General features: G+C 47.8%; 1 protein-coding gene and 1 pseudogene across 2 annotated transcripts in view, besides 7 other annotated features; one reads left to right on the forward strand and one right to left on the reverse strand.

Moving 5' to 3' along the window:
• Positions 1-24,573, forward strand: part of TCF7L1 (transcription factor 7 like 1) — a 176,996-nt gene that overhangs the window by 109,907 nt on the left and 42,516 nt on the right. The window lies entirely within an intron of this gene.
• Positions 12,197-12,919: an enhancer, noted in NCBI's record as "OCT4-NANOG-H3K27ac-H3K4me1 hESC enhancer chr2:85482618-85483340 (GRCh37/hg19 assembly coordinates)". NCBI's record gives its function as "activates a minimal SCP1, AML or CMV promoter by ChIP-STARR-seq in naive and primed H9 embryonic stem cells {active_cell/tissue: H9 hESC(naive and primed)}" and the evidence as "EXISTENCE:reporter gene assay evidence [ECO:0000049][PMID:30033119]".
• Positions 12,920-13,643: an enhancer, noted in NCBI's record as "OCT4-NANOG-H3K27ac-H3K4me1 hESC enhancer chr2:85483341-85484064 (GRCh37/hg19 assembly coordinates)". NCBI's record gives its function as "activates a minimal SCP1, AML or CMV promoter by ChIP-STARR-seq in naive and primed H9 embryonic stem cells {active_cell/tissue: H9 hESC(naive and primed)}" and the evidence as "EXISTENCE:reporter gene assay evidence [ECO:0000049][PMID:30033119]".
• Positions 15,808-16,102: a silencer, noted in NCBI's record as "tiled region #427; K562 Repressive non-DNase unmatched - State 20:ReprD". NCBI's record gives its function as "represses a minimal TATA promoter and a strong SV40 promoter by Sharpr-MPRA in K562 cells {active_cell/tissue: K562}" and the evidence as "EXISTENCE:reporter gene assay evidence [ECO:0000049][PMID:27701403]".
• Positions 15,808-16,534: a biological region, named in NCBI's record as "Sharpr-MPRA regulatory region 427".
• Positions 15,812-16,534: an enhancer, noted in NCBI's record as "NANOG-H3K27ac-H3K4me1 hESC enhancer chr2:85486233-85486955 (GRCh37/hg19 assembly coordinates)". NCBI's record gives its function as "activates a minimal SCP1, AML or CMV promoter by ChIP-STARR-seq in primed H9 embryonic stem cells {active_cell/tissue: H9 hESC(primed)}" and the evidence as "EXISTENCE:reporter gene assay evidence [ECO:0000049][PMID:30033119]".
• Positions 16,535-17,256: an enhancer, noted in NCBI's record as "H3K27ac-H3K4me1 hESC enhancer chr2:85486956-85487677 (GRCh37/hg19 assembly coordinates)". NCBI's record gives its function as "activates a minimal SCP1, AML or CMV promoter by ChIP-STARR-seq in primed H9 embryonic stem cells {active_cell/tissue: H9 hESC(primed)}" and the evidence as "EXISTENCE:reporter gene assay evidence [ECO:0000049][PMID:30033119]".
• Positions 18,616-19,016, reverse strand: SNRPEP11 (SNRPE pseudogene 11; annotated as a pseudogene).
• Positions 19,240-20,167: an enhancer, noted in NCBI's record as "H3K4me1 hESC enhancer chr2:85489661-85490588 (GRCh37/hg19 assembly coordinates)". NCBI's record gives its function as "activates a minimal SCP1, AML or CMV promoter by ChIP-STARR-seq in primed H9 embryonic stem cells {active_cell/tissue: H9 hESC(primed)}" and the evidence as "EXISTENCE:reporter gene assay evidence [ECO:0000049][PMID:30033119]".

Below are 24,573 nucleotides of genomic sequence, written 5' to 3' on the forward strand. Positions count from 1 at the left end.
CCGGCTGCTGCAGCTTATTGCTAGGAATGGGTGAGGCTGAGTGGAAGCTTTAGTAACTCAGGTGCGGCTCTTAAGCTTTGTTTTGAGTTTCAAAAGGGCTGTTTTGTCCCTTACTCGTGAAGTGGCCTTGTGTGACATAATGGCCCCCTCTGTGCAGGGTTCGAGGGGAAGGGAAGGGGAACATGCCCAGCGACTCCACGTGGGGAAGTTGCATTTCCACACCATTCACAGGGGATCCAGTGTTTTCGGAATTGTCTGGGTGTGAACAGCATAAGAGGTGCTAGAAACTCAGCAAGGGAAGGGGGAGCTGGGCCAGGAGGAGAAGGCTGGGGATGGGCTGAGGAGAGAGAGCTTCCTGGCCAGAGGCAGCCCCAGGCATGGGTCTTGGGTTCTGAGTGGGCAGGATTCTGGCTCAGGGTGAGAGGTGAAACTTCGTTCAGGAGATATACGCTGAGCCATCCACTACGTGCCAGGCACCTTAGAAAGGGCCGGGTATTCATATTGTGACTTCACACGGCTCCCTGCAGAGTTGACGTTGGGAGCTGCCCTGCTAGCCACGGACCACATTGTGAACAGCACCCCCTGGGGGTGGGAGATGTGGTGGGCGGAGTTCAGGATCCAGCCACAGGGAAAGAACGAACAGGCAAACTGTGGGATCCCGGCCTGCCAGGGAGGGTTCAGGGTAAAGCCTTCAGTTTGCTTGTTCATTCATTTATTCAATATTTATTGAAGGCCTCACAGGGAGGTGACAAACTCTATAGACACATACACGGGGGAAGAGCACGCCAGGCAGAGGGAACAGCAGGTGCAAAGGGGATGGCGCTTGGTAGGTTCCAGGAGCGGGCAGAACAGAGTGGCTGGAGCAGAGTGGGCAAGGCTGGGGGGCAGCACTGAAGGAGGCACAGTCAGAAAGGGGACAGGGGGCTGGTCACAGGGGCATGCAGCCCATGATGAAGCCTTTTGACTGAGATGGGGAGTAGAGAGGGGTCTTGAGCAGAAAGGTGACGTGATCCAACCTTTGTTTTAACGTAGCGCCATGGCTGCCATGATATAATCATAGACCGAAGGGGTCAAGGGTAGAAAATCAGAGACAAGTTGTTGGGCCAGTGGGGCCTGGATGGTGGCAGTAGAAATGGGGAAAGTTCTCAGATTCTGGACCCATTTTGAAGGAGGAGTGACAGGATTTGCTGATGGAACAAATGTGGGGAGCAAGAGGAAGAAGAGTTAGGAATGTCTCCTGGGCAGTGGGAAAGAAGAAAGTGTCATTGACAGAAATGGAGAAGACTGTGGGAGGGGCAGGTTTGGGAGGAAATAATTAGGAGCTCTGTTTGGGACATGTTGTATTGGAGATACTTTTTGGACATCCAGTGGGGAGAGTGATAGGTGGGGTAATTGGGTCTAGAAGTCAGGGATGAGGTCTAGGTTAGAGACAGAGACTTTAGTCATCAGCATGTTGATGGTACTTCAAGCCATGAGACTGGAGGAGATCCCTGAGACTGAAGCTGAGAAAAAAAGAGGTCAAGGGCTGAGCCGTGGGCACTACAGCTTTTGCACACTGGAGAGAAGAGCAAGAACTGGCAAAGGAGACTGAGAAGGAGCAGCCAGAGAGGTAGGAGGAGACCTGGTGGGCGCCGCATTCCTGCAGCCAAGGAGGGGAGTGTACGAAGGAAGAGGGGCTGCTGCTGAAGGTCGAGTGAGATGAGGGCTGAGAAACAACCATTAGGTTTAGCAAATGCAGGTCTTTGCTGTCCTCAAAATATAGACTTGGCACTCTGCCCGCTAGCAGGACAGATTCCAGAATAGAATCTGGTATCAAGACAGATACCAGGGAGAGGAGGCTCTTCAAAATCCCAGGCACGTCTGGCCCCCTAGGAGACTCAGGAAAAAGTCTCCAGACTTGGAACCTAAGCTGGACTGCCTTATCTGAGAAGATTGGTGTAATCAATGGTTTGGTGTCAGGCTCCCATAGAGAATGGGGTGAAGCTGACTATGGCTCAGCACTTGCTTAGGATAGTGGGCCATAGGGGGTTCCCTTCTTGGATGGAGGGCCGAAGGCAAGCCTCTTCACTGGGCATCAGTCACCAGTCCCTCTTCCCTCTAAGATGGGGTAGGTTGGCTGACAAGGCTTCCCACTGGCACAGTGCAACCAGAAGTCCCAGATGGGGACCTGGAACCATGTGGCTCATCTTTGAGCTACAAGGTCAGAGCCAGGGGCCTCTTTAAAACAGACCGGGCCAGGCACGGTGGCTCACATCTGTAATCCCAGCACTTTGGGAGGCCGAGGCGGGCAGATCACGAGGTCAGGAGATCGAGACCATCCTGGCTAACACGGTGAAACCCCGTCTCTACTAAAAAAAATACAAAAAATGAGCTGGGCATGGTGGTGGGCGCTTGTAGTCCCAGCTACTCGGGAGGCTGAGGCAGGAGAATGGCATGAACCTGGGAGGAGGAGCTGGCAGTGAGCCGAGATCGCACCACTGCATTCCGGCCTGGGCAACAGAGCGAGACTCCATCTCAAAAAAAAATTAATTAATTAAAAAAAAAAAAAAACAGACCAACAGTTGCCCATAGACCAACAGCAGTTTGTCAGATGGAAACAGTTAAAGGATGGCCATGTCCTTCTTGGGCAGTGCAGTGCCGGTTTTGGTCACCCGGTGACTGACCAGCTCTCCTTTGCCCAGAAAGATCTCCAAGTGAATGGCAGTCAGGTGTCCCCCATGAATGTGGTTTAGGACAGGACTGTCCACAGTGCTGACTCAATGCAATGGTGTTATTTATTGCTTCTGCTAGTGGTGGTGGTTGGCTTGGTTCTGATCTCCAGATGTAACAGTGCCATCCCGGCAAGTGAAATCATGCATTGGGAAAAAATCGAGGATGGACATCTCAACACAGTTGGGTGTAGTTTCCACTTGCAATTACTCATAAGCTTCACAGGCTTAGTGGAATCTTAAACTGCCCTCAAAGGAAAACTCAATTAGATCAAAATGGATTTAATTACTTAATGAATTCTAAATGTGTCAAAATTGACAGGCAAGCTTATTTGGGGGCCTGGGAGAGGGAAGTACTATGAAGAGTGTCACATGCCTTTCATGACAGAGCAGAAGGGAGCTCACCTCCCACACAGCTCCACCCACATATTCCCAGATTGACATACTTAACGACTCACATCCATTATCTCATTTCATCCTCAAAATAGTTCTAAGAATTAAGTGCAGCTGGTATAATCACTCCTATTTAATAGACAGTGAGTTGAGGCTTATTGAGGTGATGGATTTGCCCCTGGCAAGGCGAGGCTCTCCACGCAGGTCTCCTGACTTCTCCATCTGGCCGTTGCTCGGTGGGGGAGGAAGCAGCCCCTCTGACAAGTGTACTCATGGATATTGCCACCAGCATTTATTAATAACAGATGAGCCAAGTGCTCAGCAGAATTGCAATCCTAAGGACTCTCAAGCATTTCTCTCAAGATATTTTTTTCTTATCTCATGAAATCATGCAGTCTAGTCATTATCTGATACATGTACCCCCATGATGGTTTTGACCACCACCCTCCTTCCCTCTTGTCCACTTGTAGGACAGGAGAATTGCTCTGTGCCTGATGTCACCATAGGTCCTGGCTACCCACCATTCTCTGTAAAGAGTGAGTGCCAAGAGCTTTCAGTGAGGTACATTCCACTGGAGTGGGAGGTTTTAGCAGCTCTTTCCTTCATAACTGAAACAGTTGATTGATTGTGCTGTTACCAGGCTCTGTTTGTTTGCCCCACTGGGTTTGCATCCCTACAAGAAGCCCCCTCTGTCTTTTTGCAGGTGCTTGAGCAAGTACACCATGCTAGTGAGCAGTTCAACAGAATCCATTTTCTTAGAGAAACTGGTGAAGTGAACACAGCTTACCAGGATACAATATCCAAATTAGCACACTACCTTTTATTGTTATTAATATCACCATGACCGCTATTATTAACCTCTCCCTCTTATACAAACACATTCACTCATATGCATCCTATTTCAGAAGGTTTATCTTCTTAAAGACTGATATAATTTTCACATTTTACTTTAAACAGTAAATACAAGTGTAGGAGGCCAGAAAGCAACAGCTAAGTTAGACCCTAGTCCGTAAATTCCAATCCCTTATAAGAAGGAATCTCTTCCAATGAGACCTTTTGTTTTTCCTGCCCCAAGGTGAATGTTTTGAGAACCTTTGCATCAAATCAATTCAGATACTTGTCTTTAACTTGCAAAACTTAAACAAATGGACTTTTTTCTGCTAGCACTATTTTAGGATTCACAGAAAATCCAGTCTCCTTAAGCAGTTGAATTGAGGTTTTTGCCAAAATTGTGAGGGTTTGAAAATCGGCTTTAAATTTAGAGCATGCCCATGGTAAGGTTGCGCGGGTGTCCTATGGCTCTGTAGAATTAAGCATTAACGTTGCAGCTGGATTCCATTTCTTTGTGAACATGCAAATTAACATCTTCAGTGGCTTCCTCTGCCTGCATACTTATATACCAGCCTCCAAATGTGTTATTTGTTATTAAAATCACCGTATTTATGTGTGGGGGTTTGCGGTGACTTTCCCAGATGCAGTGATCCTAATTGTAACCATACAGGTTATTCAAACATAGCTTGGATATTTAAAACAGAAGCGAATCTAGGCCAGCATGCAGTTAGTTGAGTGTAATGTAGATGTGAAAAGACTCCTTGTGGCCGGTAGTGTTCGGTTCTGTTAGCTCCAAGAATATATCTTCCTATGGTGATTGAATAATGTGCAACTGACCTGGGTCCTTCCAGGTACCTACTTTTAAACCAGGAGTTATAATAGATTTATAAATCTTTAGGCTTTACTGGTATTTGCTTTCTGTGAACAGGAAATCTAGGGAGCTAACTGCCCCCCTGCAATATGAAAGGCACATGTTCCCCAAATGTGACTTTGGGGGCTCTCTGGGGTTTAATAACAAACACTTGCTTGGTTTTTGGGACTGGCGTTTCTTCAACTCACCCATGCATGGGAACCGTCTGAAGAGATTGTGTAAACGCAGATTCTACTTCAGTAGGGCTGTCGTGGGGCCTGGAACTCTGCATTTCTAACACAATTCCACATAGTGCTGATGGTACTGGTCCAGGGAACACACTTGGAGTAGCAGGATCTGCAGCCAAATAAATACAACCCAGTCTCCAAACTAGAGCGGACAGGCCCCCAGGAGGCTGTTTCCATGGGCCCTGGGTTTTGCTAGCCTTCCCGTCCCACTTATACACACTTACATTTGCAGAGGAGAAATGGTGAACACCTGACAACATTTGTTTAATTTTTATCGTTGTGGGGCCTTTTGGGAGGGAGGAAGAAGAGTATCTCAGCCAACCACCAACTCCCACCCCCTAAACCATCAAGATTGCTAGCGTTGTGCTTGTAGTTTTCCAAAAATGTACATGAACATAGCTGATCCACCCACTTTGGTGGATAACCTTGCCAATAACAGAGGCAGCTCAGCCAGGAGTGAGTGATTGGTCCAGAATAAACCCACCCAGGTGGCAGTCAGTTCTTCACTGCCCTGTTTAGACCTGGCCTGAGGATTGACATTTCCTTTAACTGTCTCAAATGAGAGCTATCCTGGGCTTCTTCCAGCAACCCGTGCCTCCTCCCAGACTCTGCAATCCTGTGGGTGCTCCATAAATACTTGTTGACTGACTTGACTCATTCCCTTGGGGAGGGAAAAAAAAAACAGGAGGAAGTAGGGAAAGGGGGAGTGAACTTGGTTTTCCGTCTCTTGTAAGTATCATAAGGAAATACCTAGCCTAATGTCTGTTGGCAGACTATGACTGTTTGCATTCTACAAAGTAGCATTTGAAATTTTAGTTTTTGCTTTTCACTAGTTGCAGTTTTTCTCTGTGTGCTGAATGCAGAAAGTAGTTCCCTTTGGAATTTCCATCTGGGAACCCAGCAGGAGAACCAGCTGCTGCCACTGCCGCTACTGCTAAGGAAAAAGTGGTCCCTCGCTGGCCTGTGCTGGTGTGGGCCCCGATTCTCGTGCAGTTACCCTTGCATGGGTGAGCAGAGTCCTGGGTATTTGCTCTGGCGACACCAGTTTTTGATTGTTTACAGGCTGGGTTTTCCCTAGTTGTTCAGCTGTGAGAATCTGAGGATATGTTTGTTCTTTCCTAATTGCATCCTGTGCCTCTTTCCTTTTTTTCCCTCCAGAAGTGGAAGGCATTTTTCTGCCTTGATAAAGTGTACCAGGCCAAGGGGCCTGTTGTACTCCAAAACCCCTCTTCTCAAGGTGACCCCAGTTGCCACTCACCTGCTTTTCTGGGGGTCTGCGGAACCTTCCTCACAGCCTGCACAACTGTCTCCCTTAAGAACCCTTCCTGGTACAAAGCCTCCATAAAACTCATTTGCTCTTGAGTCTTAGTTCTGGTGGAACATATCCCTGAGTTTTTGCACACTGGGCCTCCATCCAGGCCTTTTCCTGGGAGAGTAGAAAACCCATGGGCTCTGTGGGGTGGGGAAAAGCCCTCAGTTCTGGGTCTGGAAGCATCATCAGTTGCAGCCATGAGCAAGGTTTTGCCATTCTGTGCCTCAGTTTCCTCATCTGTGAAAAGGTGATAACATTATTTCTTTATCCCACTATGTTGTTCTGAGGATTAAGTGAGTTTGCAGTGTAAAGACATAGACAAAGACATAGGGACAGAGAAAGGTAACATTTGTTATTGTTGTTTTTCTGTAGCATTTGTGTCTAATGCAGTGGACTGTGTGCCCAATAAATGAGTCCTTTAAATTAATGATAGAAAGAGAAGTGGGGAAATGGGTTATAAGCAGTGATGTACTGGTAAATATTTAACAGTCAGCTCCTGGTGGGGAGGATTGTGCTCTGATTAGTGTTTGCCAATTTCCATGATGTAAATACTCTCCCTGTGGCTGATTTCAAGCTACCAACGTGACATCACTGAACACTGAGTTTGAAGGAGATGCCAGTACACCAGTGCCAGCTGCTCTGGTCCACTACTGGAAGGCATCTGCAATAGACCAAAGCCATAAGGCACCCATCACCCCTGGCCTTCTCACCTTGCCACACACAGGAATTGGTAACTGGGCCTTTTAAAAAAGCACTCGGTAATATATTAAATATTAAACATAGACTAGCTCAAAAGTGAGAATTTTTTTTTTTTGAGACAGAGTCTCGCTCTGTCGCCCAGGCTGGAGTGCAGTGGTGCTATCTCGGCTCACTGCAACCTCCACCTCCCGGGTTCAAGCGATTCTCGTGCCTCAGCCTCCTGAGTAGCTGGGATTACAGGCGCCGGCCACCACGCCTGGCTGATTTTTGTATTTTTAGTAGAGACAGGGTTTCGCCATGTTGGCCAGGCTGGTCTCGAACTCCTGGCCTCAAATGATCACCCACCTCAGCCTCCCAAAGTGGTAGGATTACAGGCGTGATCCACCATGCCCAGCCGAAAAATGAGATTTTTAATAAGCCTGGCTAGCTTTGTATTACACTATTTTGTGTTTCGTGTATGTTAAAAGCTCCCAAGTTGTGCCGTCCCCTGCAAAGAAAGCCCTGAATGCACAGAATTAGGCACATCTTGAGGACAGATAACCTTTGAGAGACCTTTCAGAGCCACTAAAGAAAGGCAAAGGAGAAACTGTAGTCTCGGAGAATGCTTAGTGTTCAGACTGAGCAGCAAAAAGGTGTTAAATAAGTAATTAACAGCTGGATTCTAAATAGCAGCTAAGAGTTAGAGGCCTGAGAACATGGCCTGAGGCCACCAGAAGGTGGGAGAGAGATAAACCAGCCTATATTTAGGAGTTAAACAGATGGCAGGATCAGGGCCCTACTTTGTATTTAGGAGGTTTGTGTGGTTTGTTTACTTGGGTTTTGTTTTTTGCTGTAACTAATTTAACAATTTAGGAGTGGAAAGAAAAATTAACCAATTTATCTTGCTGTCTGAATAATGTTTTGCAATAACCAAGAATAGGTCAGTGGACCAAGTGGGTAGGTCACTGCCCTGCTTAATGACCCATATCCGGATATTATTATGTCTAAATGATAATCAGCACTCATTTCTATGCACACAAAGAGAAGCTTGTGAGGAAGAAATAAAAAGCCTTTGCCTTTATTGTGTACAGTATATAGTGTAAACAGTAGGGGTCTAATACATGTTTGTTTCCATAAAGGCTTTTTCTAGCAGCTGTGATCAGCAAGGGGAAAGGACCTGCCTAAAGTCATCACACTGCTAATTGGGGTCGAGTTAGAACCCAAGTCTCTGGGCCCCGCTTGAGGCTGTTTACCTCTTCAGGACAGAAGGGACCAGCTGGATATAAGAGCTGAAGGAGAGAGACCAGACCAGAGCATCTATTCAGGTCACTCTTGTAAATCGCCGCTTTTTGATAGTTCCCTGTGACTGGCATCTGATTGAGAAAATGTGACAAGAAGCTACCTACTGCTTGCCCCTTAAACTAGCTGACAGTTTCCCATTCAAATTCCGATTGCAATTCAGAGACACTCTAGGCTAGGTGCAGTGGCTCACGCCTGTAATCCCAGTATTTTGGGAGGCGGAAGCAGGCAGATCATTTGAGTCTCAGGAGTCTGAGACCAGCCTGGGTAACACAGCAAAACCCCATCACTACAAACGATACAAAAAATTAGCCAGGCGTGGTGGCACGTACCTGTAATCCTAGCCACTTGGGAGGCTGAGGTGGGAGGATCACTTGAACCCAGGAGGTCGAGACTTCAGTGAGCTGTGATTGCGCCACTGCACTCCAGCCTGGGTAACAGAGTAAGATCCTCTCTCAAAACACACACACTCACACTCCAGATGCTTCTCTGCTGCTGTGTGTGCATTGGGTGGTACAGTGACAAGAGGGCTGGGGGAGGCAGGTATCACAGAAAGGACTCTGAGGGAAGTGAGTGGTGCACCCAGGGAAACTGAGGCTATGGGTGGTCCTCCCACATCCTCCCCACAGGCTAGCTGATGCCTCTGGCCTCTCAGTTGTTTTCATCTAAGGAAACTTATTTTGAAGCCATATTCATGGCAGCTGTAGTCCTGAGCATTCGCAGGACTTGTAGATAATTCACCTACGTGGTCTCGGGCAGTTATACCCTGTGATAATTTATAGCCACCCGTTCAGGCAGACAATTCCACATGAGCATTTGCTATCACTCTACTACCCTGACCCAAGCCTCGGTGTGACCCAAGCCTCGGTGTGACCCCTCTGCATGGCCTCTCCAAAAGAGATCCCTTCCCTGGGAGTTTGGGGAGCCTCTGACTCCCAGGAGAGTAGCAAAGCCAAGAAGGGGGAAATAAAAGACCACAAAAGAGCGGTGTGTTTTGAAGGAATGAATGTTTTCTACAGCCCATTTCCAAAGAACAGTCTAGAAATGCTTGCACACAAACAGTGTCATCAGAGTAGAGTAAGTGTGTGGTTTCCAAGCAGCCCCTACCACAAGCTCCCCGAGGCCTGTGCCTGCCAGGGAGCCCAACCTCAGCACCTAGTATCCAGCTCCCCAGGGAAACTGTTCTGAGCATTAGTCCTCCCTTCTCTGAGCCCAGAACGGCAGGCTGCAACTTCTAGGGTTGAATGGATGGCAGCTCAAGGAAACAGAATGGCTTTCTGGTTTTAAAACCTCAGAAAACCTAAAAACTTGATCTCTATTGCTTTACTTTAGGAAATTTTAGGCCCTTTCTCAGACGGCCTAAAATTAGACCTTCGCCACTCCCAACCAAAGCATGTCATGACATGGAAGAAGGTGGTCCCTGGCCTAATGACCCATTTCTGTAAAAATGAGGTAGGATGTGTAAACAGTGCAATAAGACTATGGAACAACAGACCGTGAGCCAGTGTCACCTTAAATGTAAACGTTAGAGATCTAGGCTTCTGAAGAAATGTTGGAAAGCCTATTAAACCACATAGGTTTGGGATTTTTCATTGTGTAGCAGACATATGGCTTAGTGTTTGATTTAAAAAATAGGAAGTTGGTGGCCATTTTCATGAATAGTTTGACAGCCAGTCAGAAGTGTGATTGTCGTTTTACCTAAACGCAACTGCTGTTGTTCGTAAGGTCAGAAACCTGCTCACAGGGGCGGGGGCGGGGAGGTCTGGTCTGTTGGCTGTTTGACCCATTTGGTTACGACCTCCATGCTTTGTCCTGAGTAGGCTGGTTCATGCTGGCAAGTCAATGCAGAAATATTGATCAGGTTCCTACTAATTGCAAGGATTGGGTTGAACGTTGCAGTAGGTAAGTAAAAGATGAGTGGGGCCATGACCTTATATAGGAACTGTCTGTTTCCTGGTCCACCAGAGCAACAACACAAGTAGTGGAACTGATCTCAAGGCAGGGAAAGGTTAGTGTCACAACAGAAGAACAGTGAGCTTTGGAGCCTCAAAGAAAGAGGGGCCATCTCCCTGTCCTTAAAAGAAATCTTCCTCCTTTTTACTACCATCGTAAGAGTTTACCTACTCCAGGCCCTGTGCATGCTAAGCGTTCACTCAGTTAAACCACCACACAATCTTAGGAACTGGATTATACTAATACCTTTTCAACATGTGGGAGCTGAGGCTCAGAAAGATTAACTTTAGATCAAGGTAACAACTGGTAAGGGGTACAGTCAGGATTCAGTCCTAGCTCAGCCAGACCCCACTGTCATGTGTGACCTTGCAGTGGGGCAGGGAGTGGCAGCAGGAGACTGAGTGGGAGCCCTTGGGTCTTTGGGATGGTTTCACCTTTGGAAGATCCAGGCCCCTCTTGCCATGAGAGCCCCATGAAGGGCTCATGGCCTGGAGCGGGTGGGAGGGCAGGAAGCCCAGCTGGGCACGGGGCAGCTGGAGGAGTGCCTTATTTGAGGCTGCTCTCGCATCATCTCATTAGGGATAATCATTTGTAGACTTGCTGCCACTGCAAACCATCGGCCCCGCTCAAATTTTCCCTGCAGCAGTGATGATGAAGTGATTCCTTAGCAGAACTGCTGGGTAACACAATTAATTCAGACTTGGGGTGGATGTTAGTGTGAATTAGGGGGTCTTCTGAATTATAAAACCTTTCAAAAGGAGCACAGGTTTATTGCTTCTGAACTTCACCAGGAATTGAAGCCAGACTGGCAAGGGGGCTCCCTGGACGAAGTCCTCTGTGTGTCCCTTGTAGGTCAGTGGTGCTTTTTCCTGCATTGGGGGGGCTTGAAGGTTGTTTCATAGCCATTTAGATATTCCCCTTGGAGTCTTGCTTGCAATTAATCTGTACTGTCTGTAAAAAGGGTTTGCCTAGCAAAGGTAAACTCCAGCACCCCGATCCACATTAATGAGTTTTGCCTGTGTAAACCACGTTAATTGTGGTTGTTGCTTTTTAATTGTCCTTAAGTTTCTTGTATGTTAACTGCTCCAGGCTAGAACTCTGGTTTCTGTTTCCGTTGGGGGCTCTATTCTCACTCCTACCCAAATAGCCTCGCCAATCTGCACTGAGATCTGCTCCCCTGCCCCCACCCTGTCTGGCATTAGTACTAAGAAGAGAATGAAGCTCAGAAAAACAGCCTCACTGGCCTAGATGAGGAGGCACAGGTATGTGGGGAAAACACGAGTGGAAGCCACAAGGTCTTCTGAGGGTCTGGAACTACCAGGTCAAGAGAAGAAAGACTTCAGATTGTCACTGTTGGATGTCTTAATATGAGGAAGGACTCAAACAGAGCTGTCCGCAGCTGCAACTGGCTGTCTTGAGAGGTGGTGACCTTTCTCGAGAAGGGTGGAAACTGTAGCCAGACAACTACTTGGTGAAGCAGCATACAGAGAGATCGCCCTTCTGATGATGCGCCCAGTCTGAGGCCTCACTGAGATGGCCTCAAGAGTGTGTCTTGAGCTGGTTAGAAACTTACCATCCTGGGCCCCACGACACACCTCTTGACCCAGACTGCATCTTAACAGGATCCTCAGCTAATGCATGCGATTGTTCACTTCCAGGGCCTCTGGTTCAGGACCAGGGTGCATGAGCATCACCTGGAGGAGATTTTTAATACAAATGCAGGGGCTGAGCTGCTGGCCTAGGACATAGAAGGACCATTCCCATACCTCACAGTCCAGCTGTCTCCCCATTCCCTCCCCCCTACATGCTGTTGTGTTTCCAAGTTCATGCCTGTGTGCACACCTGCACACAAGGGAATAGGAAAATGGCTTTGATGTATGGAATCATGTCTACAAGCTGCTTCAGTCAGGGGCCCTTCTTGCTGAGAGACCAGGCAGCTTTCCCAGGGAGCCCCAGGGCAGGGGCCTGAGGCACCTGCTTCCTGTTCTGTCCCCTGAGAGCTCCGCTTTGCCGGGAGAAAGGAGAAGCCTAAACAGGGTGGGCTGGGTCTGCGAGGCCTGCCTAAGGCTGCCCTCTGCCTTCCCAGCCCTTCAGTCCCTGATCCTTTCGGGCCCCTCCTAGGCCAGAATGTCCCAGATTAGATGGGGTGGGGAGGATGTCTTCTGGTTGCTGTAGGCCTGCATTAGGGGAGTATCCTCTCTGGTCCCACGTGGGGCAGGTGCCCAGAGCCAGGAATGAGCCGCCTGTGGTGATTCCTGTGTGTCTGGAGTCCAGGAGTCCCTTGCACTGTTGGCCAGTGGTCACTGTGCGGTGATTGACTGGGCTCAGTGTCTGTAGCTTTTGTCTGAGCCCCTTGCACCCCTCCCCGGGGATGATTGTCTGAGTTGGTGGATGTTAATCTGCAGCCCCTGAGAAGCTGCCTGGCAAATGGGAGGTTAATGTGCAAACAGCGGGGAGCATTGTCCATGTGTGAGGCTGGACAGCAAGTGGGAGGGAAATAGTTAAAAATCCTATTCATGGCTCAGGAGGGGAGGAGGGGTGGGCGCAGGAGCAGGCCCGGCCTTGTGCTAATCTTGCTGGAATGTAACTAGTTCGGGCAGTTTCTGGCTTCGATGTGCTTTGGGGCCGGTTGGCGTCCCCCCCGCCCCAACCCAGTACATCGATGGTGCGTCCGCGCGCCGAAGGCTGCTCTTTGTGTTCTCTGCAGCCACAGCTTAGAAGCGTCCGAGTCAGACCGCTTTCAGTTGTAAGGATGGGGAGGGAGGAAGCTCAGCGAGGCAGTTGTGTTATCCAAATCCACAGGCTCTTTCTCTGTTGGAGGATTTGGGTGGGGGAAGGGAATGGGCAGAAGAGAATGTTCAAGGAGAAAGACCCTAAACCTGTTGGGTCAGGCTGCTCAGCTGCCTAGAGGCCTGGGAATGCCTAGGGGGAAGCCCCTGCTTCCGGACACACAATCAATTACATATAACAGTGGGGCCTTGTGTGTGTAGGCGGGACACTGGGAGGGGTCGGCTCACAGCTCATGTTTTAATGCTTTACAAGGAGAGTGTGTTCATGCATTGCTTCTGCAACTTATAATCAATTTAAAACATTCTACATCTTGATCTAGGCTGGTGGTTACATTGATATTTACATATTGGGCCAGGTTTGGTGGCTCATGCCTGTAATTTGGGAGGCCGAGGTGGGTGGATCACCTGAGGTGTCAGGAGTTCGAGACCAGCCTGGCCAACATGGCGAAACCATCTCTAATAAAAATACAAAAATTAGCCGGGTGTGGTGGCGGGCATCTGTAATCCCAGCCACTCGGGAAGCTGAGGCAGGAGAATCACTTGAACCTGGGAAGCAGAGTTTGCACTGAGCTGAGATCGCACCATTGCACTCCAGCCTGGGTGACAGAGTGAGACTCTGTCTTAAAAAAAAAAAATTACATATTAAAAATTCACTAGAGCCTGGGCAACGTAGTGAGACCCCCATCTCTACAAAAGTTTTAAGAATTAGCTGGCTGTAGTGGCACATGCCTGTGGTCTCAGCTACTCGAGAGGCTGAATCAGGAAGATTGCTTGAGCCCAGGAGTTCGAGGCTACAGTGAGCTCTGATTGAGCCATTGCACCCCAGCCTGGGCAACAGAACAAAATCCTGTCTTAAAGATTCATTGAGCCGCACACGAGATTTGTGTACTTGCTTATGTATACATATTACACCTTAGTTTTAAATATTTTAAATTAATTTAAAAAAAGAAAAATCCCTCCTTCCTGACCTACCAAGGCCTTGGCTGTCCAGCACAGCTGCAGGGAGGAAGAACAGGTTCCCCGGCTTAGCTCCAGGGCATCCTCGGACTGCCCACTGGAGTGGGCGCTGAGCTCCCACACCGCTGTTTGGAAACAGAATGAAGTTGCACAGCAGCCAGATTCTGGGGCTTCCCCACCCAAGTTTGCCACTTTGCTCATGGGATTTGAAGAAAGCATCAAAGGCAGCAGCTTTAGAAAATAGCTCCAAGGGCCCCCCTTGGAGTGAGGTCACCTTCTCAGCTCACAGAGGGCTGTGGTGCCAGCTGCTGGCCACACATGCCCACGGGGCTGCTCTGGCCCTGCCTGACCCTGACTGGCTTCCCCTTGCATCCCCTGGGGAGCCCACGCCCACTGCACAGCATACCCACCAGGTGCTGCTGCCCTCCTGAACTCTGTGGGACACACTGCTGCCCACGTGGGGACTGCCCCGGAATCAGGACCCTGGATTTCTCCTCTGCTACCTGCCCCCTCCCGCCACGTAGTGAGGGTTCCACATTATGAATGTCATGGTTCCTTCCGGCTCTTGATTTTCCATGATTCGGGATCAGGAAATGATTTTCCTCTGAGTATTTTTAGGCCATGAGACTCAGTATAACAGTCAAATCCTGGCTCCACAACCCCTAGCTGTGTGGCCTTGGATAAATTAAAATCTCTCTAATCTTAGTTTCCTCATATGTGAAATGGGAATAACAACAATACTAAACTCAGTAGGGCTGATGAGGATTAAGTGGAAACCAGACTAATGTTGTATTCATTATCTGGGATAAAGGTTAGCCTGTATCATCATAATCAAAACCACACGACACAGTGTGCCTCACAGTCCAGTGAGCCAAATCCTTGCCTGTGCACACTGTACCCTTAGACCTGAGCAGGGGGGGCCTGCATTGGACCCTACTTTGGAGGGCCCTGCTCTGACCACCCTGACCACTTCCTTCCTGACCAGGCCAGGAATCCACGGAGCTGAGGATCCAAAGAATGGGATCCTGAGGCTTGAGAGCCTGCCTGACTCTTCCCTGGACGTGCACCAAGCCACTGGTGTGCACACCTATAGGTTGAGATAGGGGGCTCGCGTTTGCCTGGGGCTGAGCTTTGATGGGGGTGCTGAGATGTCTGGGATGTTTCCATGTGTGGTCCCAAGACCTCATAGGACAAGATGGAACTGGGAATGGTGGGGGTGCCAGATCAGGCTCTCTTACCACCACCGCATTCTGGTACAGAACCCAGGAGTCTGGGAATTCTAAATTCGAGCCTGGCCTTTTCGTAGCATTCATATTTGTCAAGGGAGGAGGAGAGAATGTATTTAACAGTTTGTCAGCTTGAGTTATAACTTTTACATGTGTAAGCGTATGGGCTTGCATCTATGTTCTTGTCCCAAACCCTGCAGATATTGGGGTTGGGGGGGCTGTCTGCATGCCCTTCCTTCCCCAGTGGGTGACCATCACTGACCCCTGAGACTTAAGACAAATTGTAGCCATGCCCGCCTCCGAAGGCGTCTTTAGGAAAACAGTGTCGTAGGTCCTTTCAGTTCAAAACCCTTGCTTATTTATTAACATGAATACGTTGGTTCTAGAATAGAGCCTTGCCCTGTGGAAATTGCCATCTGTACTCTTCGAGGTCTACCTCAGATCCCACCTCTTGGCCTAACTCTGTAATACCCCCACACTCGGTGACACCCCCACTCTATGACATTTACCATTTGGGACAGAAGCCCTGTCCTCCCTACCTATAGCTGAGGCCACCTCCCAAGACACATTGTCATTCTGTCCCCCACAGCACCACACACAGTGGCTGCGCATGGTGGATGCACAGTGAGTATTTGTGGAATGAGCGGCCGAGCCGCTGCAGACTGATGAGTGTTCTGGGGCCTGTGTTTGTTTTCTAAAACTGCTCTGTCAGTAAGCGCCCCGCCAATCCCCGTGTAAACATATTCAGATCCTAAAGAAGATCAGGCAGCCACCCTTTAAAAAGCCCGATAAACCCAACCTTCATTTGTATTATCTTTGGGCAGGGTTTGCTTGGGAATTCGTATCTGTAGGAAATCTTAGTGCTCGCTGCTGGGAGGCAAATTGTTCGCATTCATTTGTTCTTTCAGTGGTTTGGCCCTATAAAGCAGAGGGCTGGCCTGAGGGAAAATTGTGAAAGAATCTGAGTTTGTCTTTGGGGTAGAAATTAAACAGCTTCTCTAGGCCTTGCCCTCAAACTTCAGCCCTGTTTACTATTGAAGATTGTGTGTCTCAAGGGGTAAAGAGAGCCGTGGGATAATGGAGACTGAAAAAATGTTGCGATTTAGCCATTTTGTTTTCTTTTTTCCTTGGAGAATAATCTTTTGGGAAAAACTTGGATAGAGACCCTTTGAGCCATACAATTTTTTAAAGTTGAATTCAAGCCTCTAGTCATGGCTTGATTCATTTTTTTCTGAACAATGAACAAAGAAATGCTGGTAGAGAGCCTTGAAATGCGGGGATGTTGAATGAGGAAAGGAAAAAGGAGGGCCGTGAGTGTTCCTGAGCACTGGCTGGACCCTGCAGAAGCTTCCGATCATTCTGGAGGTCTCCAGAACTTGGTGGCTGGGACACCAGATACTGTGCATATGTGAGGGGAGGGCCTCTGAGAACTCCCAAGAGGCCCCCAGCAGCCTCCCCCACAACTGACCTTTCACAGTTGGCACTAAACTGCAGGCTTATCTCCTTTCTCCATTTCCAGGACTGCAAATTGCAGCACCTGGAACTAAGACATCCCTGGAGGGCAGGCCTTCCAAACTCGCCCCCATTGATTAAGGCAAACACTGCTTCATCCACAATGTTACAGTAACATCAGCAAGAAGAAATGATGATCATAGCTGATAGCTGTCAAGTGCTTACAGCGAACCAGATGCTTCTGGGTGCCCTTCTCTATTTAATCTTGGTATGGCAGTGTACGTTGGCAGGGGACTGGAATTTAAGCAAAAGAAGAAATACTGATGTTTCCAATTCATCATTTAAAGAGACCTTGTACGTGGCCGGACGCAGTGGCTCATGTCTGTAATCCCAACATTTTGGGAGGTTGAGGCGGGCAGATTGCTTGAGCCCAGGAGTTCGAGACCAGCCTGGGCAACATAGTGAGACCTCGTCTCTACAATACAGGAAAAAAAAAATTAGCAGGGCATGGTGGTGCGTGCATGTAGTCCCAGCTACCCGGTGGGGACTGAGGTAGGAGGATTACTTGAGCCCTGGGAGGTCAAGGCTGCAGTGAGCCAAGATCGTGCCACTGCACTCCAACCCCGGTGACAGAGTGAGACCCTATCTCAAAAAAAAAAAACAGACAAATAGACCTTGTACGTGAGGCCTGGCCATTTGTTAACCCGTGTGAAAGATGTTTCGGTGGCCATTTAATGAACATATGTTGAATAATGTGCTGTACTGTGTACCACAGATACAAAGGGGAAAAAGATACAGAAGGAAAAAAGAAAACTCAGTATCACATACTCAGCCCCTTCTGATAGAACAGGTGTGTCCAAGCAGCAACATCCTAAAATAGTTGTCCTCCACTCTGGGATGTAAAAGAAGTTCTTCTGGGATTTGGTTTTATTACAATGACTGAGAATTTGCTCTCCCTCAGTTATCATATCTACTGTGACAGGCCTTGCACACGTCCTGTGAGATCCTACCTGCCAAGAACCTGTCTGCCATTTCTCATTAGTATCTTTGTGGTTTGCAGTCACCTGTGTAGAATTTGCACATATACTCAAGTGTTATTTGTTTTCAATTACTTCCTCAATTATTGCTGGTGTGTGTGTGTGTGTGTGTGTGTGTGTGTGTGTGTGTGTGTGTGTGTGGTATTTCATAGCCAAAGCTATAAAATGTATTTCCAATAATATTAGTAGAATTTTTTCAGCCCCTAAAACCCACCATAAAAGTTAACTATAATAACAAGGCCCGTAGGCCTGTACACAAGGGCATGGTTTCTATCGAAGTGTATTACACAGGCCAGACCTCTGGATTCTCCACCTCCAGTGGCTGCTGTTTAAAGCAGGCATTAAAAGGAAGATCATTTTCATGTTTGTGATTTGAAGCATGTGTGTGCTCACGAAGGATACCTCCCTGGACAATGCCTGGAAGAGGACTTTGTGAAGTGGAGACTGTACATGATTCCACCAGCAAGCATGTGTCTTGACAAAGGTTGTTAAGGACAAGAAGTTGTGCCTTAGCTGTAACCAAAACCCAGCCTAAGCAATCAGGTGAGTTGAAGTAGATGTTGTCAAAGCTAAAAAGAAGCCAAGCGTGGTGGCTCACACCTGTAATCCCAGCACTTTGGGAGGCTGAGGCAGTGGGATTCTTGAAGCCAGGAGTTTGAGACCAGCCTGGGCAACATAGCAAGATCCCATCTGTTAAAAAAAAAAATTAGCTGGGTGTGGTGATGTGTGCCTATAGTCCCAGCTACTCAAGAGGTTGAGGTGGGAGGATCGCATGAGCCCAGGAGGCCACAGTGAGCCATGTTCGTGCCACTGCACTCCAGCCTGGGCAACAGAGCAAGACAGCATCTCTTTTTTTGTTGTAAGACAAACAATCCCATAGCATTTATTGCCATCTTGTAATAACATAAGGGTAATCAAAACAATATGAATAAATGTTCATATTGGACAAAGGACAGCTAAAAACAAACTGTATCCTTCTCAACAATTTCTCACTTCATTGATCATTTCTAGCTGGAGACACTTTGTAGCAGAGGAATACCTCCTTTTAGCATGATCCGACCCAGTTGTTTTCTTGACTTTGTTTTAGAATGAATCTCTTCCGCATCATCTAATAACAAGGTTCGTATACTCATTAAAACCAATGATACAGCCTTCTGTCCGCATATTCACTTGCTCATAGAGCCACACCTGAATCTGCGATCTATTTTGTAAGTATCTGAAGATGAGGTTGATGGGCGCATCTTCACCTTCTGCACTTTCTGGCCCTGGCCATGGTATGCCATGGTGGAATTTCACAAAGAGCACACCCGCACGCTGCCTCTGAGAGCAACTTCCAGAATCAAGACACCGTCTCTTAAAAGAAAAAAAAAAAAACTAAAAAGAATAAGATGTAGGCTTAGGGCTTCCTCCCCTGAGGAATTCTTTTGGATCCCTCTGGCCTCTGACAAGCCAAGCAGAATATGGAGAAAGGAGTCTGTAGAGGCTGCTGTCAAGTCCAGGGTAAAAACACGAGCATTTCCAAGCATTTCATCAAGGACTTGTTAAAGATCCAGGTTTGAAGTCTCCAAGGAAGACTTTTTTTAAAGATGTTGCCCAAAGGAAAAGAGATCAAACCAGCAGAATGAATTCCCCATCATATACATGGGGGATACCCAGGAACTCACAGGGTCTCTCCGGAACTCTGAAAGCAATTAGAGAACAAGCATATGGGTTGTGGTCCCTAGAGTTGGAGCCTGATGCCATCCTCCAATAAGTTCTCCAGCAGATTCCCTTTGGAAGGCTACTCATGGACCCGGGAAGAAATGACACCCAAGAGCGGGGAACTAGAGGCTAACACAGGGTACTTGCTACTGCAGTGGCTTCAGATACCCTACCCCTACCCCAAACTTGGGCCAGGCCAGTGGCTATGGAACTCCAGAAAGAAGGGCCTCAGAGAGAGAGAGGGAGAAGGAGAGAGTGTCATCTACATCATGACAGTTGCACCTTTTCCATGTGCAACTGGGGAAAGCTGCGGTCCCTCAGCAGCCCTTTGCCTTCACTTGGGCCAATGACCAAAGGTACCCAGGGTGGTAGTCCAGTCACTGGCAAAAGCATGGCAGCCTTTTGGCAAAAGACTTGGGGGCATAAATAGTGAAACACTCAGAGAATGGAATGATTGGCTGGCTAGAAAATGGATGGAGGGTGTTGTTGGGAATAGGCAGTTGGAGATGGGAAGGGTAGGCCAGGGCTTTAATGCCCACTGAGCAGGCATCGGGAACCGCTGGAGCTTTTGTTGGGGGTAGGGTGGAGGGGGGGAAGTAATGCAATCACAGGAAGGGTGGGCTGGCCTGGGGAGGGGCTGCCGGCAGGAGGGCAGCTCAGAGTCTTTACAGAGGTCCAGGGCAGTGAGCAGCAGAGATGAAGGGGAACAATTGGAGAGACAGTCCAAGTTAGAATGACAAGACTTGGTCCCCTGTCAGTTGTAGAGAGTGAGGGAAAGAGAAGAGGCCAGAATGATCCCCAAGGTTTGTACAATACTCAGGGTGACCGCATGTCCTGGTTTACATCATCCATCATAATTGTTAAAGGTGTTCCCTTTCACTTTCAAAGGAGCCTTGGTTGATAGGATGTAGGAAACAGGATCAGGGCTGGATTTTGATGAGTCTGTGTGGGATTGAGCTGCCTGTAGCACGGTGTCAAGGAAGCACTTGGAGATGAGGAGGAAGGCTGGAGCCAGCTGCAGAGATGAGCGTGATCACCGCGTGGGTGCCAACCTGCAGGGGGAGGAGGAGACTACCCAGAGAACACCAGCTTTCGAGGCATAGGCCAAGGTTCTGAGGAGCGGCTGGAGGAGTAAGTGGAAAACCAGCCGAAAGGGTGCCCCAGAAGCTGAGGGGCCTCTTAGGAAAAAGACCTGGAAGATGACATTGGGTTTGGTAGTTAGGAGGTCAGCAGTGGCCTTAGCGAAAACAGGGCCAGTGACGTGGAAGGCAGGTGGCAGTGGGCCGAATGATTGGAGGGAGTGGAGGCATTGACAGTGGGGGTTTGACGGTTTTGTAAAGAGCTTGTAAGGGAGAGACGGCCTCAGCACAGGGCCCATCCAACTGTGGGTCTCCAGCCAATTGCACTGATTTTTCCTGCCCATTCTTCCTTCTTTGAAGGGAAAAATGGAAATTGAAGAGGAAGAAATCAATGACCCATTTGAACCATGACTTGGAGTTTAATTCAGCGTGTATCTGAGTGACTACGTGAGTACTCCTGACCTCCAGGAATGGATAGAATGGAATATGGAAAATCAAGGTGGATCAAATGAGAATTTGGCCAGTGGACTTACAAAAAAGTATTCAAATGGGCCACACCTACCCAGTCTGGTGCTGTGCATGCATCACAAATCCTCGGACATGAGATGGAGTTGTCACCTGGTCAGTGATTGGGTTTCAGAGTCTGGATAGGAACTGGGGGCTCAGGAAGGAAGTGGCAAAGATGTGGAATTTTCAGGTCATCATCAGGCCTGAACAAGACCTGATCACCACCCAGTCTCGGTCCTCAAACAGCTGCTTGTGAAAGTTAAGTTCTGTAACCAACTTCATGCACAGGCTATGCCTAGAATTGGTGTTCTACTAGGTCAGTCAGGAAGTGACAGGGGATTTGAGAAATGTTTTTAGAGCCTTTGTGCTCTGAAATGTACCCTCCTCCCTAACCCAACTAGCCTAGCCTGGATGCTTGAAATTCCATAAAGACCAAGCCCTGGATTTGATTGGAGAGTTGGGGGAATGTGTTGCAGCCCCTCTCCCAACCCAGAAAGAAGGCATGTAATGTGCTAACGCCGTTAGGAGTGTTTATGGCATATGGGTTATGATATTGAATTTGTCCAATAAACCATCAGGAAACTTGTGTGGGCATTTCCTGTCTCACTTTGTGATGGCTAATTTATGAGGGCTGCTGTCAGGTTATAGATTCTCCATTTTTACCAGAAACTTCCACCTTGAGCCTTATAATGGATCCACCGGAATGAAGATATGTATTCTAGGCAAGGATTTAGGTAGGGGAGAACCATGAACCTGGCACACAGTAGCACTAAACAGTGTTTAATGGGTAAGTGGGTGGATGCTTGCTCTGGGCTGTGAAAGAAGAGTGTAAAAGAGACAGGACCATAGATCCAGGAAGGTCATCTTTGAAAGAGAAGCCCAAACAATGGGTAGAAACTACAGAAAGTTATGGAGGGGTAGGTGTGAGCATTTGGGGACCACTCTGATCGCACATTAATATTACCTGGGAGCTTAAAAAAAAAAAAAGTAGATGCTTAAGCCCCACCCTGGAAGAGTTAAATCATAATGGGGAACGCAGACAGGAATCAGTGTTTTTAAAGCTCCTCCCAGCAGCCCTGGTGCCAGTGAGATCTGAGAACTAGCAGACTGGGTTGTCTCCTCTGGTTGAATTGGCGCCCAGACCTTCCCCCAGAGGGGAATCCCTCTGGAAGGGAAAGAGTGGAGGAGAGTGTCCAGGGCGGGGCTGTAGAGTGGACCCTTCCTCAGCCAAGGAAGGACTCGTGCAGCTGGCAGTCACAGCACTTACTGGCCCCAGCGTATGTTGCCCAGGAACCATTGAAGGCTTCCAAACGGCTGAGGTCACATTTTTCCAGGCCCTAATGGGAACGGTTGGGAAGGTTGTCAGGGGCAAGACCCCATTCAAAATAAAACAGCACTCAGAAGTTCAGAAATGAGAGGCTGAAGATTTGAATATAGACTTTACTGGGTTTTTTTTTTTTGAGTGTTTTTATATATTTAATTTTTTTAATTAAAAAGTGATTCCCATTGCATATATTTGCATTTACCTTTTAAAATCAATGTATGTTTAGCCAAAAGAATAAAATAAAAACACCCATAATCTTGTCTCCCAGAGAGATTAAGTTCAACTCACCTCTTAGTGTATATTCTTCCAGATTTCTCAACACATACATAAAGATACCTGTTTTACAAAATTACAAGTAAAAGTAGGATTCAATACATGTTTTTTCTTTTTTTAAGCACTCCCCATTACACAGGTGGAAATACATGTTTCGTATCTTGCTTTTTCACTTAACAGTGTAAACACCTTTCTGTTTCTGTAAATAACCACCTACTACATAAATTCAGATATCATAATTGCAGCATAAGGCATTTAATATCTTTCAGCTATTATAAACAGCTCTTCAGTGAACATCCTTGCAGCTATATTTTGCTTGCATCCTTAATTATTTCCTTAGGATGCATTCCTAGAGACAGTAAGCCTTCAGAAGACTTGATACATACTTCCAAATTGCACAAGACAGGATTTACTAATTTACTTTCCCACCACCAGGGTATTAAAAAGTGCCTGTGGTAATTAAAGGGGGAAAAGGCCACTGCCAACATGAGAGACTAAAAGTAGTTAACTCATTACTGAGTTCATAACTTCTTTATCTCAAATTCTGCAAACAAATGGGAGTGGAACCCAGAGATTTTCCTTGACGGCTTGATGCCCAGCCCAGGAGGATCTTTGTTGTCTGGCCCACCAGGTCACCGGCTCCTGGGGTTTTCAGTGCAGCAGGTATCCTTGTCCAGGGCCTTTGTTTCCCGCTGGTCATTGGTCCAGCATGCTTCCGGTGGGGACTTGGGAACCACCAGGGGGCAGTGTGGAGCTGTTGAGCATGCTCTGCATGCCTTACGGCTTATCCATATTGAAACTTTCAATAATACAAGTATTCTTTTGTTGTGTTTTATGACTTCTCAGATTGGTATTTATAATATTGATTTGCTTACATTAGTATTTCATCCCCTTCCAATTATTTTTATGTTTATGTGTTGTAAAAAAAATAACCTGATCCATCATAGCTGTTCTGTAGCTGGCGGCCAGGACACCTGGGTTGTTCTGATCCCAGCTCTGCCAGTGTCCTCCGTGACCTTGGTGGGACAGCTCACCCCATGGGCCTGACTGCCCTTATCTGAGGAGTGCCAGGATGGGCTGCAGGAGTGGTATGTTTTCTTCTCTTCCAGCACTAGCATAATGAAAGGATTGAGAGTTGGCCTTGGCCAGGTGTGGTGGCTCATGCCTGTAATCCCACCACTTTGGGAGGCCGAGGCGGGCGGATCACTTGAGGTCAGGAGTTCAAGACCAGCCTGGCTAACGTGGTGAAACCCTGTCTCTACAAAAATACAAAAATTAGCTGGGTGTGCACCTGTATTCCAGCTACTTGGGAGGCTGAGGTGGAAGAATCACTTGAACCCGGGAGGCGGAGGTTGCAGTGAACCAAGATTGTGCCACTGCACTCCAGCCTGGGCAACAGAGCGAGGCTCTGTCTCAAAAAAAAAAAAAAAAAAAAAAAGAGTTGGCCTTTGGGGCTGGGCATGGTGGCTCACACCTGTAATCTCAGCACTTTGGGAGGCCGAGGCAGGTGGATCACTTGAGGTCAGGAGTTCAAGACCAACCTGGCCAACATGGTGAACCCCTGTCTTTACTAAAAATACAAAAATTAGCTGGTGTGGTGGCGCACACCTGTAATCCTAGTTACTCAGGAGGCTGAGGCAGGAAAATCACTTGAGCCCAGGAGGCGGAGGTTGCAGTGAGCCAAGATCGCACCATTGCACTCCAACCTGGGCGACAGAGGAAAGACTCTGTCTCAAAAAAAAAAAAAAAAAAGAGTTGGCTTTTGGGTTTGGGATAGACTGGGGCAAGTTAGTTAACCTCTTTGTACCTTAATCCCTCCATCTGTTAAATGAGGATAATAATAGCATCAACTTATAAGGCTGTGGGGGTTAAACGAAATAACACATGGAGTATCTGGCACAAGGTAACGCATCACTAAATGTTTTCTTTAAAGAAATCTGTTTATCCAAGATTTAT

This window comes from Homo sapiens, chromosome 2 (genome assembly GCF_000001405.40).
Source record: "Homo sapiens chromosome 2, GRCh38.p14 Primary Assembly".
NCBI classification, from domain to species: domain Eukaryota; kingdom Metazoa; phylum Chordata; class Mammalia; order Primates; family Hominidae; genus Homo; species Homo sapiens.